The sequence below is a fragment of the Homo sapiens genome, chromosome 22, assembly GCF_000001405.40.
Source record: "Homo sapiens chromosome 22, GRCh38.p14 Primary Assembly".
In the NCBI taxonomy this organism is placed as follows: domain Eukaryota; kingdom Metazoa; phylum Chordata; class Mammalia; order Primates; family Hominidae; genus Homo; species Homo sapiens.
In genome coordinates, this window is record NC_000022.11 from 42,358,219 (window position 1) to 42,375,076 (window position 16,858).

Consider the following 16,858-nt stretch of genomic DNA (forward strand, 5'->3'; position numbering starts at 1 on the left):
GTGACAATGGCACTTACTGGGCACTCTTTGGGCCAGAAAGAGGCTGGGTGCTTTACAGAGCCTCTGACAGATGGGTATTAATATCCGCATTTTGGCCTGGCGTGGTGGCTCACGCCTGTAATCTCAGCACTTTGGGAGGCCGAGGTGGGCAGATCAATTGAGGTCAGGAGTTTGAGACCAGCCTGGCGAACATGGTGAAACCCCGTCTCTACTAAAAATACAAAAATTAGCTGGGTGCAGTGGCGGGTGCCTGTAATCCTAGCTACTTGGGAGGCTGAGGCAGGAGAGTCGCTTGAAACTGTGAGGCAGAGGTTGCAGTGAGCTGAGATTGCGCCACTGCCCTCCAGCCTGGGCGACAGAGTGAGAGTTTGTCTCAAAAAACAAACAAACAAAACAAAACAAAAAAAATTAGGTGGGTATGGTGGTGGGCGCCTGTAATCCCAGCTACTCAGGAGACTGAGGCAGGAGAATCACTTGATCCCCGGAGGTGGAGTTTGCAGTGAGCCGAGATCACACCACTGCACCCCAGCCTGGGGAACACAGTGAGACTCCGTTTCAAAAAAAAAAATTAGAATTAAAAAAAAATAAGAAAAAAAAAATCCCCATTTCACAGATAAGGAAACTGAGGCTTGGATAGGTCAAAGATACCCGGACTCCTTAGTCCAACAGCACCTCTGACCTTAATCTCCCCTCATCCCACACGCAGAGGTTGTTTGAATTCTAGTGATGGGAAGATCACTCCTGCCAAGACCCCACCTTTGGGCATGCGTGAAAGAAAACTCTTCTCAGTGGAGACTGAATTGGCCTCCTGAAACTCCCACCCTAGGGCTGAGCACTCTGTCCCCAAAACAGTCTTCAGAGCTTGAGCACAGCAGGACACCCCAGTAAGCCAGTATGCCTCCCCTGGGTAGCTCCTTTCTGAGCCTTAGTTCCTCCAGCTGTAAAACAGGGTTACAACGGTCCCTTACTCAAGGGATGGTTGTGAGGCTTTAGGGTGTTAATAAACCTAGAATATTCCAGGAGCATCCCGAGTCCTCAGAGAAGCTGCGGCCAAGAGGAGAGGCTCAGAGGGCCTTCCAGGGACCCAACTCACCTTCCCCAAAGGAGGAATTGGCCGTGATCAGGGCAGCCCAGGGGAGGGATGGAGTGGGGACCACGGCTCGGGAGCCCGTGGCGAGCAGGCATTTCACCTGCACTCTACTGCCTCTTCCCAGACCTGGCCCTCCCAGAGGATGTGGCTCAGTCTTGCTAAAGGACAGCAGGAATCAGGGCCAGGCAGGGCTGGGTTCAAGTCCTTTGTCTGCCATTTACCAGCCACGTGTTTGGTGTAGCTGTTGGTTACCTCGCTGCTCTCAGCCTGGCGTCTGCAGCTTGGAGGAAGGCCCTGTCTCCCGGGGCTGTGGTGTCCAACAGTATGTGAGGCCCAAAGCAGAGTGGCCCCTCAAGTGCAGAGCCAAGCACACCCCAGGCCTGGGCCCCGCTGGGGACAGCCAGGCCACCCCATCATGGTCCTCCCTGCACTGAGGGAGGGACTGGAGAAGTGCAGCTCAGGAGAAGGACCCCACGTCTTGGCACATTCTGTTTCCCCTGCTCACCATGCTGTTCCTGGCAGACTTCTCTTCCCCTGGGGCCTTCCAGGCTTAAGTCTCTCCCTCTTTGTGAGGCAGGACACTGCAGCGGGGAAGCATGTACGTGATCAGGAGTACACTGATGGGGCAACTGAGGCCCAGAGAGAGGGAGCGATGTGTGCAGGATCACGCAGCTGGAGGATGAGAGCTAAGATTCCACCCCAGGCCTCTGCTGCTCCTCCTGGCACTTAAGCCTTCCCCAATCCATCCCCACACACATGCCCAGCACATCCCCACCTCGGGGCCTTTGCCCACTCCATAATCCCGATCTGGGGTTACGGTGCCCTCTCTCTGCCCAGCTGGATCTTACTGACCTTTAAGGCCCCTACTCTTGCTGTCCTCCCAGCCCTGTCCTTAGCCCCTAGAGCACACTGTCCACCCGACCCGCCTCCCCATCCAATTCCTCTTCACCCTTCAGCTCACCTGGGGATGCCCCTCCTTGGGGGAGCTCCCTCTGATCGGCTAGACCACCTCCTCTTCTGAGCCCATTCCCGGAGGCCACCCCCACTCCACCCACTTTGTGATTTCTAGCTCAGAGTCTCTCTCCTTCCCCAGATGAGGGCTCTCAGGGCACTTGTTTACACATGTTGCCTCAGCACCCAACACAGATCCTGGCGCAGACCAGGTGTTCGATACTGGCCGTCTCTGCACGGCACCCATCCAGCTATCGTTTCATTCAGCAAATGTTTATTGAGCACCTGCCCTGTGTTGGAGACCTGAGATACAGCAGTGGGAAAACAGGCAGGGCCCGCTCTGACTCAGGTGACATTCTAGTGACACGTATGCACATGTCCAAGCCAAGGGCCAGTGGCATAGATGCTAGAGGGCAAAGACTGGGGGAAGGGCCAGGCATGGTGGCTCACACCTGTAATCCCAGCACTTTGGCTGAGGCAGGCAGATCACCTGAGGTCAGGAGTCACGGTGAAACATGGTTTCACCATGACCTCAGGTGATCCCCTGTTTCTACTAAAAAATACAAAACTTAGCTGGGCATGGTGGCAGGTGCCTGTAATCCCAGCTACTCAGGAGGCTGAGGCGTGAGAATTACTTGAATCCGGGAGGCGGAGGCTGCAGTGAGCTGAGATCTCACCACTGCACTCCAGCCTGGGCGACAGAGTGAGACTCTGTCTCAAAAAAAAAAAAAAAACATGGGGAAAGGATGGGGAGGGTCATAAGGGAAGGTCTGTCTGAGCAGGTCATTTTTTTTTTTTTTTTTTTTGAGATGGAGTCTCTCTCTGTTGGCAGGCTGGAGTGCAGTGGCACAATCTTGGCTCACTGCAACCTTCGCCTCCCAGGTTCAAGCAATTCTTCTGCCTCAGCCTCCTGAGTAGCTGGGACTACAGGCATGTGCCACTCTGCCCGGCCAATTTCTGTATTTGTCTTTTTTTAGTAGAGATGGGGTTTCACAATATTGGCCAGGCTGGTCTCGAACTCCTGACCTCCTGACCTCAGGTGATCTGCCCGCCTCAGCCTCTCAAAGTGCTGGGATTACAGGTGTGAGCCACTGTGCCTGGTCTTTTTTTTTTTAGAGACAGGGTATTTGCTCTGTCACCTAGGCTGGGGCTCCAGTGATCCTCCTACCTCAGCTACCTCAGCCTCCAGAGTAGCTGGGTCTATAAGCGCACACCACCACGCCCAGCTGATTTTTATTTTTTGTAGAGAAGGGGTCTCGCCATGTTGCTCAGGCTGGTCTGAAACTTCTGGGCTCAAGCGATACTCCTGCCCACGTCTCCCAAAATGCTGGGATTACAGGCATGAGCCACGGTGCCCGGCCACAGGTAACATCTGATCGGAGCACTGGAGGAAGTGAATGCGGGAGTGATGGAAATATCAGAGGAAAGAGTATACTGGGGAGCGGGAGCAGCACGTGCAAAGGCCCTGGGGCAGGACCACACACAGCACGTTGGAGGAATAACAAGATCTGGGAGCGAGTTGGGGGGCAGGAGCTGAGGTCTGAGAGGGAACAAGCTGGGGCCACTGACAGGGCCCTCCCTGACCCTGAATGCATGGGAGTCATTGCAGAGCTCTGGGCAGAGGCATGCAGGAGCTGACTGAAGTTCTAACAGGACCACTCTGCTACTATGTGAAGAATGAATTCCAGAGGGCAGAGGAGGCAGGGAGACCCACGAGGAGGCTGCTGTGCCATCCAGGCAGGCAATGCCGGTGGTGCGGTGGAGGTGGAAGGAAGGGTGGAGTGCTGAGATAGAGACAGAGGAGAAGTTAAGGGTCAGGAATAATCCCAAGGCTTTTGGCCTGAGCAAGTGAAGGGAAAGTGGAGGTGAGAGGTTTGTGACTAGTTGAGGCAGAGCTGCCCACTGGCCATCCACGTGGAGAGGTGGCACAAGCTGTTGGCTGGATAGGTCTAGGTTTTGGGAGAGAAGTCCAGGCGGTGTGGGCACCTGCTGTATGACTCCCCATGTCCTGCACATAGTAGGTCCTCAGTAAATGCCTGCTTATTGGGCCTGCAGGGGACACATTACTGGCCACAGCCCAGCTCCCAGCCTCCAGGAGAGGCAGACAAGGGGCCCAGGGCCAATCATAGAGAGCCACACCCTGAGGGGCACGTGGGGCACCACCAGCATTTCTTGGGTGGCACTGTGGAGGGGAAGCTGGGAAGACCTCTTGGGCGAGGTGGTGGAAATCTTGGCAGGTGGAGATGGGTGTTGTGGGAAGGCGAGAAAGTGGAGGAGGAAGGCCCAGTGGAGCCGAGGTGAAGTGGACGGTGCAGGAGCCGAACCCTGGTTTCAATTTGGGCTCTGGGACTGTGAGCAAGACACTTAACCTCTGAGGTCTCCATTGCTGACAGGAATGCTAACTGTCCCCTTTCATGGGTTTGTGTGGGGATCAAATGAATTAATCCATGGAAACTGTGGCGAACAACATGATGGCAGGTGCTCAGTAAACATCACCTGCCTGTTAGCATTGCATCCAAAGCTGCCTGGGAGGAGGGACAGAGCACAGGGAGGGAGAGGGGAACAGCACAGGAGGCCTGGGGGACAGGAGCCTGGGGCCCAGAAAACGAGGGGATTTTATTCCCTTTGGGCGATTGGAGTCATGGGAAGTTCTGCAGAGAAAGGAGTAGATGTTCCTGTCAGTCCTTGATTAGCCTCCGCCTGTGCTCGACTTGGTACACTCCCTCCCATCCTAGGCCGGAGGGTCCTAGCCAGCAACCTGCCTCCTGGGCCCAGGACACACTCATGCGGCTAATGCTTGGTCAGTCCAGGCCTTCTGAGGCCGTTCATCCTCACAGCAGCCTCATGTGTGAGGCCGGTCCTATTATTATTATTGTTTGACAAGTGAGGACACCAAGGCACAGCGAATGTCACACAGATCAATGTCGTCTTGCAGATAGCAGGGGACAGAGCCAGGAGTCAAGCCCAGGCTGGGGATTCAACTCCAGAATCCACACTGGCCTCTCCCAGCTATGAGAATGGCCTCGGAGCCCTTTGAGGTGCCCTCAGAGCCTCGGATGCCCTCAGAGCTGGGCATTGTGTGACACATCCAGCACTACTGTTCTCCCAACAGGCAGGGTGGGGGCCATTGTGTCCACTTTCAGGGAAAGAAGCTGAAAGGTGGTGTGACTTGCTCAGGGCCCCGAAGTTTGCTTCTGGAGCAGCTGGGACCTCAGCCCAGGTCTGGGACGTCCCTGTGCTGGGTGCTTGGCAGGCACGACACATGCAATCTTGCACCCAAGCCTATTTCCGAGGTGAATACTGAGGCCCCCTCAGCCTGGAGTTATTTCTGAGGTCCTTGCTGTCTTTTGAGGAGGAAGAAAATGGATTCCCCCTCCCAGGCCCCTAGGCTTCATGTCCCAGGTCCCTTTACTTTTTCTTCTTCTTCTTCTTCTTTTTTTTTTTTTTTTTGAGATGGAGTCTTGCTCTGTCACCCAGGCTGGAGTGCAGTGGCGCGATCTCGGCTCACTGGAACCTCTGCCTCCCGTGTTCAAGCAGTTCTCCTATCTCAGCCTCCCAAGTAGCTGGGGTTACAGGCGTGCACCACCACTCCTGGCTAATTTTTTGTATTTTTAGTAGAGATGGGGTTTCGCCATGTTGGCCAGGCTGGTCTTGAACTCCTGACCTCAGGTGATCTGCCCTCTTGGCCTCCCAAATTGCTGGGACTATAGGCATGAGCCACCGCGCCCAGCCCCAGGTCCCTTTACTTCTGTTCCTCTCTTGACTCTCTCCTTTCAAAGAGGCTTCTCATTCCAAGAAGCGCCTGGCCCACTGGTCTTGGTCCCGCCCTGCTGACAGCCAGTTATCCCCTGAGCCCAGCCAGGAGACTGAAAAGCTTTACTGCATTCTCTTAAGGGCTTCACAGCCAGGAAAACCAGCAAAGGGGAATATAGTGTCTGCAGACCGGTGAGGTCCAGGGTCGCTCCATAAAAATGGATTCCTGGAAAAACATAAACCAGCAATTTACCCTGTGAATTTTATTGGCCTAAAAAAAAAAAAAAGGCTATCTCATTTGAATAATGAAGAGAGATAAACCATTCCTAGCTCCTCTTTTATTAGTGAATAAGGACACAAACACTCAACAGAAATGGAACACTCACACAAAGCTTCAGGTCTGATTTATTAGCCACTTTAGTTTCATAAAACTCAGCATTTCTATTAAAATAAAATGATGTCCAAAAGGTTTGCTTGTTTTTAAGAAAATTGCATTTAATACAGGGCAAGACTTTGTTATGGTTTATTTATTTATTTATTTATTTTTTAAACAAAGCTCAAATTCTCCTGACTTCACGCCTGTTACTACAGCTGGAGGGAAACCGATTTCAGAATCTATCTGATATGTCGGATTTCTTTGTGGCATCCACTTCATCGCTCAGCAGCCAGCCATGATGTCATAAGCCCATCAGATTTCCGGTAGGGGGAAAACGCTGGGGAATTGGAAAGAATGGATGTTTCTTACCCGTCAGGAAGGCAGGGGAAGGAGCTGGGTATGTTTGGGAGGAGAAGCCGCGTGGCTGGTGGGGGACAGGAGCAGGCTCAATGTTTGTGATATTAAATGTCAGGCAGAAACCTGAAAACCCCAGCTACCCAGATGTTTTCTCAATATCCAGATGTCTGGCACTGAGCAGACCATGCTCCCGCCTCCCAGGAGGTGCTCAGCATTTGGGCTTTGACCTCAGGTCTCCGGGTGAGCGCACACTGCCAGGAGCTGTACATCCTCGCGGCTGCCCACCCTTGGGTTTGGGATTTTTTTTCTAAATCTTTACACATAGATGACAGGAGTAACTAGGTCCAGATTTTTAAAAGCTGTTGAAGCAGTGATTTGAGAAGTTCAGTCTCTGGAACGCTATGTAAGCCAAAAAGGAGGAAAAAAAAAAAAAAACCCTCAGCCAACACACACACAAACATATGTGACTCTTAAGCCATAGGACTTAAGAACCCAAAACAAAACCAGCAAGTCTGAGAACCAGGGCTGGAGACCGACACTGAGAAGCGCTGAGCCCTCCCCCAGGAGCACGCTTTCCCCCAAATCAGAAAAACACCGCACAGCTTTGTTCTTCCTGACAAAGCCCCTTGCTTCCAGGGAGCCGACAGTTGCCAACAAAAGCACAGGGTGGAACTCATTTACACGCAGGCTGGGCTTCAAGGAGCCATCAAGTGCAGAAATGGAAATGGCTTTGCCTAGGAGCCCTGCCTCCCTGCGACTGGTAATGGGGACCCCTGGAGCCTGGGGGAGCCCCGCAGGTCACAGATGGAGCAGGGTCCTGGCCTCCTGGTGCCTGGCTAAGCATCTGCCCCACGGAAGTCACCACCTAGGCTTGTGACATCACAGCTAATTGCCCCTGACAATGAGCCAGGAACTGCAGGCCCCTCAGGGCTGCAAGCCTGAGACTTCACAGGGAGCCGGGAGGAGAGGCAGCTGGGGAGGGGCCATCGCCAATTAAAACCCAGTGCTCAGATAACAAGAAAGAAGTGGTTGAGGGGGACAGTATCGTCTCTGGTGGGGAGAGGGCAGGAGGAAGTGGGTGTGCGGAAGGGGCTGAGGGTGGGGTATTTGTGCCCTCATCTCCTACCACAATCCCCACCCCCAGCCTTTACAGATGAGGACATTGAGGCCAGGGGTGGCTGAGTGGCCTGCCCAGGGTCACCAGGCTAATTAGCAGGACAGTCAGTACAAGGGAAAAGAAAACATAGGTCTGGCACTGCCCAGGTCTTCCCTAAACTTACCTAATTTAATCCTCGCAGCACTCTGTGAGGGAGGGGTTATCCTTAACCTCAGTTTCCAGAGGAGCCAGTGGAGGCACAGAGAGCTTAAGTAATTTGCCCAAGGCCACACAGCGCATCATTAGCAGAACTTGGCCTGAACTTCTAGTCACCTGATTCTGAATCCTGTGTTCTTTCTGCCGGGTGGGGGCAGGCAGTTGAGGTTTAACTGGGAGTTGTGAATCTGATCTAAATACATATTTAAAATGCTGGTGATCCCCACAGAACAGAAGGGAGCAAATCATTGCAAATTAATTTTTTTAAAGCCATTCCAGGCAGGAGGCTTGCTGGCCAGGTGGGTGGGTGGGGAGGCTGCTTTTATTCTGTCCCCGCCAGAGCCTGAATAAAGCAAGTTGACTGTCTCTCTAGCTGTGCGTGGCGGCCACTCAGAGCTCCTGAAGTGGGGCAGTGGGGGGTGTGGGAGACTGGAGAAAAGCTTTGTTAGGCATCTGCGAGGGCTTCATCTGCCCCAGGAAAAGTGCCAGGCACACGGGTCCAATGGAGCCAGGGGAGGGAGGATTCACTGTGTATAGAAACCATGCAAAAAAAAAAAAAAAAAAAAAAAAATCAGTCCCCCTGAGCCGGGTTCCTAATTTCCAAGTGAGAGTTTCAATGTGCCGTGGGTCAACTGAGCAGCAATTGCTGGCCCAGAGACCTGACTCTGGGTCAGAGCTGTGCTGCCCAGGGCCCTGCCCACCAGGATGGGGGAGGCCAGGCAGTCACTGTGGTCCTATATCCCAGCTACTCTGGGGGCCCTGTCGGCCACCACCTTCTCCCAGAGCAGCACTTGAAGAAGACAAGTCTCCAAGAGATGGGACAGAAGAAAGAGGAGACAGGTCGGTCTGAGCTCAGGGAACAGGACTAGCGCCTGCCCTGGGCCTCCCCTGGCAGGTCCACTCTCCCTGCAGCCAGCCAGCCTTGGCACTGCAGTGGTCAGGCTGTGCCAGGCCTCTCCCTTCACAAGGCCTGCTGGTTTCTTTTACTTTGTTTCTGTGAACGGCAAATGGGGTGTGGAGCCCAGGACTCGGGCCAGGGAAGGGGAAAGAAAAGTTTCTGCCATCTGGATGCCTGACCTTGCTGAGCCACTCCTGTTTTTCTGGGGAAATCCTACCCATCTTTTATTTGCTTTGCCTACCATCCACCCAGAAAAGATTTGGGTCCTGCCCTCATGGCACTTACAATCGACAGGGGGAGCTAAACATTGACCAATTAATGGCATAAAAGTGTCCATGGAGGGGGTGGTCCCATGCTATGAGAGTCCATCATAGTGGAATCATCAAGTCAGGGAGGTCAGGGCAGGCTTCCTGGAGGAGGTGACATTTGTGCTGGGGCCCAAAGGATGAGGAGTGTTAATTGCTCTGACTCACTGTCATCCTTGCAGAGTCCCTCTCTGATATCCTCCTAAGGTCGCCTCCCCTCCCCATACCCTGGTCCCCTTCTTGACTGTCTGTTGTTCATCTATATCCCTGCCCTGGTCTGGAAGCCCTATGAGGGCAGAGGCCGGGCCTGTCTTAGTCACTGCTGAATTGCGCATGCCCGGCACTTAGTAGGTGTGCCGGACCACCTGTGGTGGTCTACACTGCCTATTTGTAACTATTTGCTGATCAAAAGAATAAACAACATGTGCAAAAGGCTTTGTAGTAGGGGAAATCCCAGGACAGGAGGATGTGGGAGTAGGAACGGGGGCAAAGGGACAGAAGGTGATGGGAGATGAGGCTGTGCCTCCCTAAGAACCTCCCTAGAAATGCGGGTATCTCCTCCAGCCAAGGGAAACCCTTCTGCCCTTCCCCTGTGGCAGAGACTGTGGTAGGGTGTCTTTCTTACCCTAGAGGAGAGAGTGTCGCATAAATACGCTGCCCCACCCGAAGCGCTCCAGGCACAGCACCCCGGACACAAAGCAGGTGGGCACTAGCACCCCCTGCCCAGTACTCTGCCACCAGCTTCCCTCCTGCGTTCATTCTCTCACCCAGTGCTGCGGGGCCACCTGGAGCTACAGAGAGGGAGTGGGATCCACCCCCAGCAGATCCGAAGGTCTCAATCCAGGGCTTCCCTGCATCCCAGCCCCAGGTCTCACCTGCACTACCCCCATGGCTAGCACCCTTTCTCCTCACTGAGGCGGAGGTGGAAGAAGAGGAGCCAGGACAAATGGGGTTTGAGTCCCTGGGTCTGATTACGAGCGTGGGACGGGTGCCAAATTGGCCTCTTCGTCCCTCAGCTTCCTCACAAGTGAGGTGGAGACTCCCCAGGCTTCCCCGGAGCCAGGGACAGAGTGAGCGCTTGATGATCCCGTCTAAAAGTCTCAAAATGAGCCCCCTTTGGTCTCGCTCTGTCGCCCCAAATCCCTCTCCCGCCTCAGCTGCAGTTTCTCCAGCTCCCGAGGAAGGGGGGCACCCGAATTCCAGCCGCTGAGGCTGGAGTTTGGAGTTCGCCCAAGGAGCTTCCGCCCTGGGATGCGGCTGAGACCCGACAGGTGGGTCCCGTCCCCGCCCCAGATGTGCGCCTGGCCCCTCGGAGGCGCGGCTCCGCCTACGCCCAGACCCTTCCTCCCCGCCAGCCCGCTCAGCGCGCTCTGGCAAACTTTCCGCGTCCAGAACCCGCCCGCGTCTACACCTGCTCGCGGTTCAACCGCAAGCGCAAGTCTACACGGTCTCACCTGCCCCCGGGTTGCTGAAGGGTGCCTCGGTCACGGGGCCGCGTCTCCACAGGCTCAACAGCTGCGAGTCCCCGGGACTGCCGACCTCAGCCTTGGGGATCCGTCTTGACCACCCCCGGATTCGGAGGCGCCCGGGCCGGACCACCTGTGCTGGTCTCCACCTCCTCGGCAACCCCGGGTCACCGGAGATGCTGCAGCTCGAGGGTCCCGCCTGCACCATCCATGGCTCTCGAGATCCTTCAGAGCGCGGACCCGGCCGAGACCCCGCGGAGCCGCTGCGCGTGGCTGGTGCCCGCGGTCGCCCCGCAGTCCCGTATGCGGCGAAACCGCCGGGGCTGCTTACCTGGCCCGCACCCTCACGCTCCCGTCCGGGCTGCGCAGCCGCTTCTCTCACACATTTTGCGATAACATCGATGGCGAAAGAAAATGTTGTAAATCCTCCTGCGGCCACGTGGCTGTCCCCCCACCCCCTTCTCCCTTTCTCTGGCCCTCAGGACAAAAAGGCCCCGCGGCCGGCCGCTGGCCACGGGGCTCTGGGCGGGCGAAGCTGGCTGCAGCGGGGCGTGGTCTGGGGAGGGGCCGGACCGGGGCGGGCGGGGCGTGGTCGGGGCAGGGGCGGGGCGCGCTGGTTCCGGCCGCCCTCCCCGCGGAAACCGGGCCTGAGACTAGGGCTCCTGTTCCAGCTCTTGATTGGTCGGTCGGCCAGCACTGCTGACGTCTGATTGGCTGAGACAAAGAAGGGACTAAGGCCGTAGGGGTGGGGGTTTGTGGATTTCATTCTTTGCCTTTTCGCTCCGGCGGTGGCCGCTGCTCTTTCGGACCTTCCTGAACTCTGCGGCCTTTTCCTCTCTGCTTCCGTGGTCCCTATCATAACGCTACCTGCATTTCCTTGTCCTTCTCTACCAAACAGCACCTGGAGATAGGGACATGGGGTTCGTGCTGCTCACCACTGTCTCCCCAGGGCCTAGCACACAGTACGTGCTCAAAACGGTTAGTTGAATGAATTCGTGGAAAATATGCATACAGGTGTTTAGAGCTATCTTTAATGTTGGCAACATCCCTAGGAGATATTACTATTCTCTCCCGAGGATGAGGAAACCGAGGTGCAGCGAAATTCGGTCACGTGGGGATGAATGGCTGAGCTGATGCTGGGACATGCTTACATTACTGGATCTCGGATCCTCTACACAGTGATGCCCTGTGCAGTGTCAGAGCTCAGTTTCCCGTCTATCAAGAGTGTTGTGTTAGAGCACAAGATAGGTTAGAAGATGGGTTATTACTGCCAGGTCCTGTGGCTCACGCCTATAATTCTAGCACTTTGGGAGGCCAGGGTGGGAGAAGCGCTTGCGCCCAGGAGTTCGAAACCAGCCTGGGCAACATGGCGAAACCCCGTCTCTACAAAAAAAAAATTAAGAAGTTTTCTGGGCATGGTGGTGTGCACCTGTACTCCCAGCTACTTGGGAGGCTGAGGTGGGAGGATCACTTGAGCCCAGGAGTTGGAAGCTGCAGTGTTATGATTGTACCACTTGCACTCCAGCCTGGGTGACAGAAAAAAAAAAAAACCCGTCTCTACTAAAAATACAAAAAATTAGCCTGGCGTGGTGGTGGGCACCTGTAGTCCCAGCTAGCTACTCGGGAAGCTGAGGCAAGAGAATGGCGTGAACCCGGGAGGCGGAGCTTGCAGTAAGCCGAGATGGCACCACTGCATTCCAGCCTGGGTGACAGAGTGAGACTCCATCTCAAAACAAAACAAAAACAAAAACAAAAAAACTTACTTCGGCCGGGCACAGTGGCTCACGCCTGTAATCCCAGCACTTTGGGAAGCCGAGGTGGGTGGATCACCTGAGGTCAGGAGTTCGAGACCAGCCTGGCCAACATCATGAAACCCCATCTCTACTAAAAAATACAAAAATTAGCTGAGCATGCTGGTGGGCACCTGTAATCCCAGCTACTCGGGAGGCTGGGGCAGGAGAATCACTTGAACCCAGGAGGCAGAGGTTGTAGTGAGCTGAGGTCATGCCACTGGCACTCCAGCCTGGGTGATAAGAGCGAAACTCTGTCTCAAAAAAAAAAAGTGTCATTTAAATGAACATGCTTGAACATGCTATACCCAGCACTGTGCTTGGCAGTATGAATGACACAGCCTCTGCTTCCATGTTAAATTCCTGGTAACCTGCTGGGCTCTTTCCCTTCCTGGGAATCCATCCCCTGAACCCCCCTCTGCACCCCCATCACAGGGGAAGTTGGAAGCACTCTGCTCAAACCATGCTGCATTGCCCACTCTGACAGTTTGGGGCATTTGGGGTGGATTTTCCTGTGGAAGTCATGGGGAGCACCGTGAAGCAGACTGACTTCCCGGCTGCTGTTCTCTGATGGAGAGGGGGTCCTTGGGATGCCCCCCCAAGTAGGTCCTTTTGATTGAGAGATGATGTATGAGATGGGATGGGGGAGAGGGCTTCCTCTGACAAAGGAAGGTGTAGAAGCTTCTCCCGGAGTTGGGCAGAGAAGGGTTAATCAACTAGAAAAATGCTGAGAGCCTGTCTCCCATAGGCAGCCAGATTGAGGCATGAAGAGGAGGAGCTGGCTTGGTGGTGTGGTGAATGAGTGCTCCCTGCATCTGTCTTCACATGGCCTTCTTATAGGGACATCAGTCATTAGATTTAGGCCCCATCCTAATCCGGTATGACCTCATCTTAAGAAGATTACATTTGCAAAGACCCTATTTCCTAATCAGGTTGCATTCACAGGTATCGGCGGTCAGGACTTCAATATATCTTTCTGGGGGACACAGTTCAACAAGGCTCAATGAGGAAAGAACATTTTGATTAGTAGGGAACATCGAGAGCAGAGGCCCCAGGGCTGCACAAGGTGGATGTCCCTGTCGCTGCCCACTGTTCTCTTGGGACTACACAGATCCTGGTGCCTAGCAGCTGTGGAAACAGAGTTGGGAGGCAGCCGACCCTCTGGACATCAGGCCTTTTCAGCTGACCCTGCCCAGCCTGGTGCCAGAGCAGGGCCCTGCCTGCCTGCCCCTCCTCCCTCTTCCTGCCTGGTCCTCATTCCCACCCACATCCCAAGATGGACAAGGACAATAAAAGCTGTTTCATAAGCAGCTGGTGATTAATTGCCAAGCTAATTAAAGAGGCAGTAATTGCACTCTGATTTCAGAGGAAGGAGTGATGTCTTGGGCAGGGGTGGGTGGTCAGCTTAGGTCTCCCTGACAAGGCAGAGCCAGAAGACAGAAAGGATTTGAAAAGCCAGGAAGAAAAAACAGGTGCACTTTTTTTTTTTTTTTGAAACGGAGTCTCGCTCTGTCTCTCAGGCTAGAGTGCAGTAGTGCAATGTTGGTCCACTGCAACCTCCACCTCCCAGGTTCAAGTGATTCTCCTGCTTCAGCCTCCCAAGTAGCTGGGACTACAGGTGCATGCCCCCATGCCCCACCAATTTTTTTTTTTTTAGACAGAGTCTCACTCTGCTGCCAGGCTGGAGTGCAGTGGCACGATCTCCGCTCACTGCAACCTCCGCCTCCTGGGTTCAAGCAATTCTCCTGCCTCAGCCTCCCTAGTAGCTGAGACTACAGGCATGCACCACCACACCCAGCTCATTTTTGTATTTTTAGTAGAGACAGGGTTTCACTATGTTGGCCAGGCTGGTCTCGAGCTCCTGACCTCAGGTGATCCTCCCTCCTCAGCCTCCCAAAGTGCTGGGACCACAGGCATGAGCCACTGTGCCCATCCGAAGCACCCTCTTTCTAGAGGTGCACCTGTTGGCTGCGCACAGTGGCTCACACCTGTAATCCCAGCGCTCTGGGAGGCCGATGTGGGTGGATCACCTGAGCTCAGGAGTTCGAGACCAGCCTGGCCAACATGGTGAAACCCTGTCTCTACTAAAAATACAAAAATTAGCTGGGTATGGTGGCACGCACCTGTAGTCCCAGCTACTTGAGAGGCTGAGGCAAGAGAATCGCTTGAACCTGGGAGGCTGCGGTTGCAGTGAGCCAAGATTGCACCATTGCACTCCAGCCCAGGCGACAGACAGAGACTCCATCTCAAAAAAAAAAAAAAAAAAAATAGTGGGTGCTTCAATCATAGCTGCACATAGCTGCAATATTTCATTTGACAGAGTCAGATGGGGGACTTAGATGCTTAAGCTTATCTCTGTACTTTTCCATGTCTTCGAAATATTTCATTAACATCCACACACACACAAAAATGGCAGGGGAGAGGTTAAGTGTTTCTAAATTCTAGTTTGGGATTTATAAATGGCTTCAAATACCAGTGTGCCTTACTTTACACAGTGGAGAGGGTCTTAAAATTCTGCGTCAATTGAATCCCGTTGGCCTACCCAGTAAATCTTAACGCCTCTGATGCTCTAGCTTCATTTCTGATTGATTTTCCCTGGCAGAGGTACCAAATTCTTTGCTTTAAGTGTCAGGCTCTCTCTGTCAAGTAGTTAATGACCTATAAAGCACTTAAAACGTACTGGAGGAGATGCGATTTGGAGGCACCCTGCAGTGTATCCTCTCTTATTGTCGGTAATCACCCCTCATTTATTTGCTCTTATTGGTTTGGAATTTGCTATCAGGTTTTCCTAAAGCCAAGCCCACCAGGAATGGTCCAATTCTATGTGGGCCCAGATGGGTGCCGGGATTGGAACCTAGGGGCAGTGGGCAGCCAGTGTGGCCTCTTTCCTCACGAGCCCTTCGGCTTGGGTGCCCTGGTCATCTCATGGCCACACATTCAGCGGCTCTGCCTCTTGCCAGCTGAGTGATCTTGAGCATTCAGTGCCCCCCTCCAAGCCTCACTTTCCTCTTCCACACTGCCCCAGAGCTGGTGCCTGCCCCTGAACAACTGGAAGATGACTCCAGCCTGGTGAAGTCAGTGCTGGGAGCCGTAGAAGAGGCCCAAGGTCAGGGTGAGCATGGAGGTCATGACCGAGGCAAGCTCCAGGGTCAGAGGTCATAGGAAGCATCCCCAAGGAGCACAAAACAGGGTGGGCCACTGACCTCGGGGCAGAAGAGCCTCTCAGAGAGGGGCCCAGCCTGGGAGGCAGAATAGGCTCTTCTAGGAGGGAAAGTGTCTTCATTTTCTTTTCTTTTTTTTTCCTTGAGACGGAGTCTTGCTCTGTCGCCCAGGCTGGAGTGCAATGGCGCAATCTTGGCTCATTGCAACCGCCATCTCCCAGGTTCAAGCGATTCTCCTGCCTCAGCCTCCTGAGTACTGGGACTACAGGCATGCACCACTACACCCAGCTAATTTTTCTATTTTTAGTAGAGACAGGTTTCGCCATGTTGGCCAGGCTGGTCTCAAACTCCTGACTTCAGGTGATCCACCTGCCCTCAGCCTCCCAAAGTGCTGGGATTACAGGCGTGAGCCTGGCCAGTGTCTTCATTTTCTATGGCTGCTGTAACTAATCACCACAAACCTGGTGACTTAAAACAACACACGTTATCCCTATTGAAAAGCCGGGAGAAAAAAGAAAGAAAAAAATTATTTTTTAAAAACCCACAACACGACACACATTTATTTTCTTACAGTTCTCAAGACCGGAAATTCAGAATCAGTTTCAACAGGCAGAAACCAGGGTGTTCACAGGGCCACGTTCCCTCCAGAAGCTTTGAGGAGTATCCGTTTCCTTGCCCTCTCCTGCTTCTGGGGCTCTGTTCCCCGGCTGTGGCCTCTTCTTCCATGTTCAAAACCAGCGGCGTACCATCTTCAGACCTCTTTCTCTGCTTCCATCATCACACCACCTTCTGCCTTTGGTCTGTAATCTCCCTCTGCATCCCCCTTTATAAGGGCGTTTGTGATTGTAATGATCCAGGATAACCTCCTCATCTCCAGATCCTTAATCACATCTGCGGCGCCTTTGTCATATAAGGTAACATTCACAGGTTCCAGGATTAGGATGTGGATATCTTGGCGAGGGTGGGATTCTTCAGGCTACCACAGAAAGCCACCAACCAAAGTGGTTCAGATCATGGATTCTGAAGCCACTGCTGGGGCCTGAATCTCAACTGCACCATCTGCCAGCTAGGTGACTTTGGGCGAGTTGTTATATCTTTTTAAGGCTCAGTTTCCTCATCTGTGAAATGAGATCAATGCCTACTTATTGCCACAGATAAAAACTGAATAGGCATTTAACCATCTGACAGGTAGAGGGAGTTTCATGCGCCAGAGCCTGGACCTTGAAAGAGGCCCCAGCAGGGCCCTTCTGTAGGAGGAAAGGAGGAAGGGCAGGAAAGGGTACGGGCAGGGCAGGCTGGGTGGAGGAAGAAGCTGAACCACGTCCCAGGGAAGTGTGTGTGTGCTCTGTCCTAAGGGTAATGAACAGGGGACAACAGAAAGTGTTTAAGTAGGGCAATT

At 53.7% G+C, this 16,858-nt stretch overlaps 2 long non-coding RNA genes across 4 annotated transcripts, besides 6 other annotated features; one reads left to right on the forward strand and one right to left on the reverse strand.

The window, feature by feature from the left end:
* Positions 4,919-5,572: an enhancer, noted in NCBI's record as "H3K4me1 hESC enhancer chr22:42759143-42759796 (GRCh37/hg19 assembly coordinates)". NCBI's record gives its function as "activates a minimal SCP1, AML or CMV promoter by ChIP-STARR-seq in primed H9 embryonic stem cells {active_cell/tissue: H9 hESC(primed)}" and the evidence as "EXISTENCE:reporter gene assay evidence [ECO:0000049][PMID:30033119]".
* On the reverse strand, positions 6,182-10,990 carry LINC01315 (long intergenic non-protein coding RNA 1315). 3 transcript variants are annotated; one of them, NR_120597.1, is made up of 2 exons: positions 10,840-10,990; positions 6,182-6,507 (listed from the first exon to the last, which is right to left on the reverse strand). It is a non-coding gene; the product is annotated as a long intergenic non-protein coding RNA 1315 (long non-coding RNA). The 3 variants fall into 3 exon arrangements; NR_120596.1 differs by having other exon boundaries at positions 10,497-10,990; NR_120595.1 differs by having other exon boundaries at positions 6,182-6,926; positions 10,497-10,990.
* Positions 7,083-7,925: an enhancer, noted in NCBI's record as "NANOG-H3K27ac-H3K4me1 hESC enhancer chr22:42761307-42762149 (GRCh37/hg19 assembly coordinates)". NCBI's record gives its function as "activates a minimal SCP1, AML or CMV promoter by ChIP-STARR-seq in naive H9 embryonic stem cells {active_cell/tissue: H9 hESC(naive)}" and the evidence as "EXISTENCE:reporter gene assay evidence [ECO:0000049][PMID:30033119]".
* Positions 9,310-10,244: an enhancer, noted in NCBI's record as "H3K27ac-H3K4me1 hESC enhancer chr22:42763534-42764468 (GRCh37/hg19 assembly coordinates)". NCBI's record gives its function as "activates a minimal SCP1, AML or CMV promoter by ChIP-STARR-seq in naive H9 embryonic stem cells {active_cell/tissue: H9 hESC(naive)}" and the evidence as "EXISTENCE:reporter gene assay evidence [ECO:0000049][PMID:30033119]".
* Positions 10,537-10,656: an enhancer, noted in NCBI's record as "active region_19161". NCBI's record gives its function as "activates an Ori minimal core promoter by ATAC-STARR-seq in GM12878 lymphoblastoid cells {active_cell/tissue: GM12878}" and the evidence as "EXISTENCE:reporter gene assay evidence [ECO:0000049][PMID:35858748]".
* Positions 11,025-11,319: an enhancer, noted in NCBI's record as "tiled region #6115; HepG2 Activating DNase unmatched - State 4:PromP, and K562 Activating DNase unmatched - State 4:PromP". NCBI's record gives its function as "activates a minimal TATA promoter and a strong SV40 promoter by Sharpr-MPRA in HepG2 and K562 cells {active_cell/tissue: HepG2 | K562}" and the evidence as "EXISTENCE:reporter gene assay evidence [ECO:0000049][PMID:27701403]".
* Positions 11,027-11,186: a silencer, noted in NCBI's record as "silent region_13824". NCBI's record gives its function as "represses an Ori minimal core promoter by ATAC-STARR-seq in GM12878 lymphoblastoid cells {active_cell/tissue: GM12878}" and the evidence as "EXISTENCE:reporter gene assay evidence [ECO:0000049][PMID:35858748]".
* Positions 11,274-13,608, forward strand: LOC124905126 (uncharacterized). Its single transcript, XR_007068114.1, has 2 exons — positions 11,274-11,486; positions 13,244-13,608. It is a non-coding gene; the product is annotated as an uncharacterized LOC124905126 (long non-coding RNA).
* Positions 13,609-16,858: the final 3,250 nt, after the last annotated feature.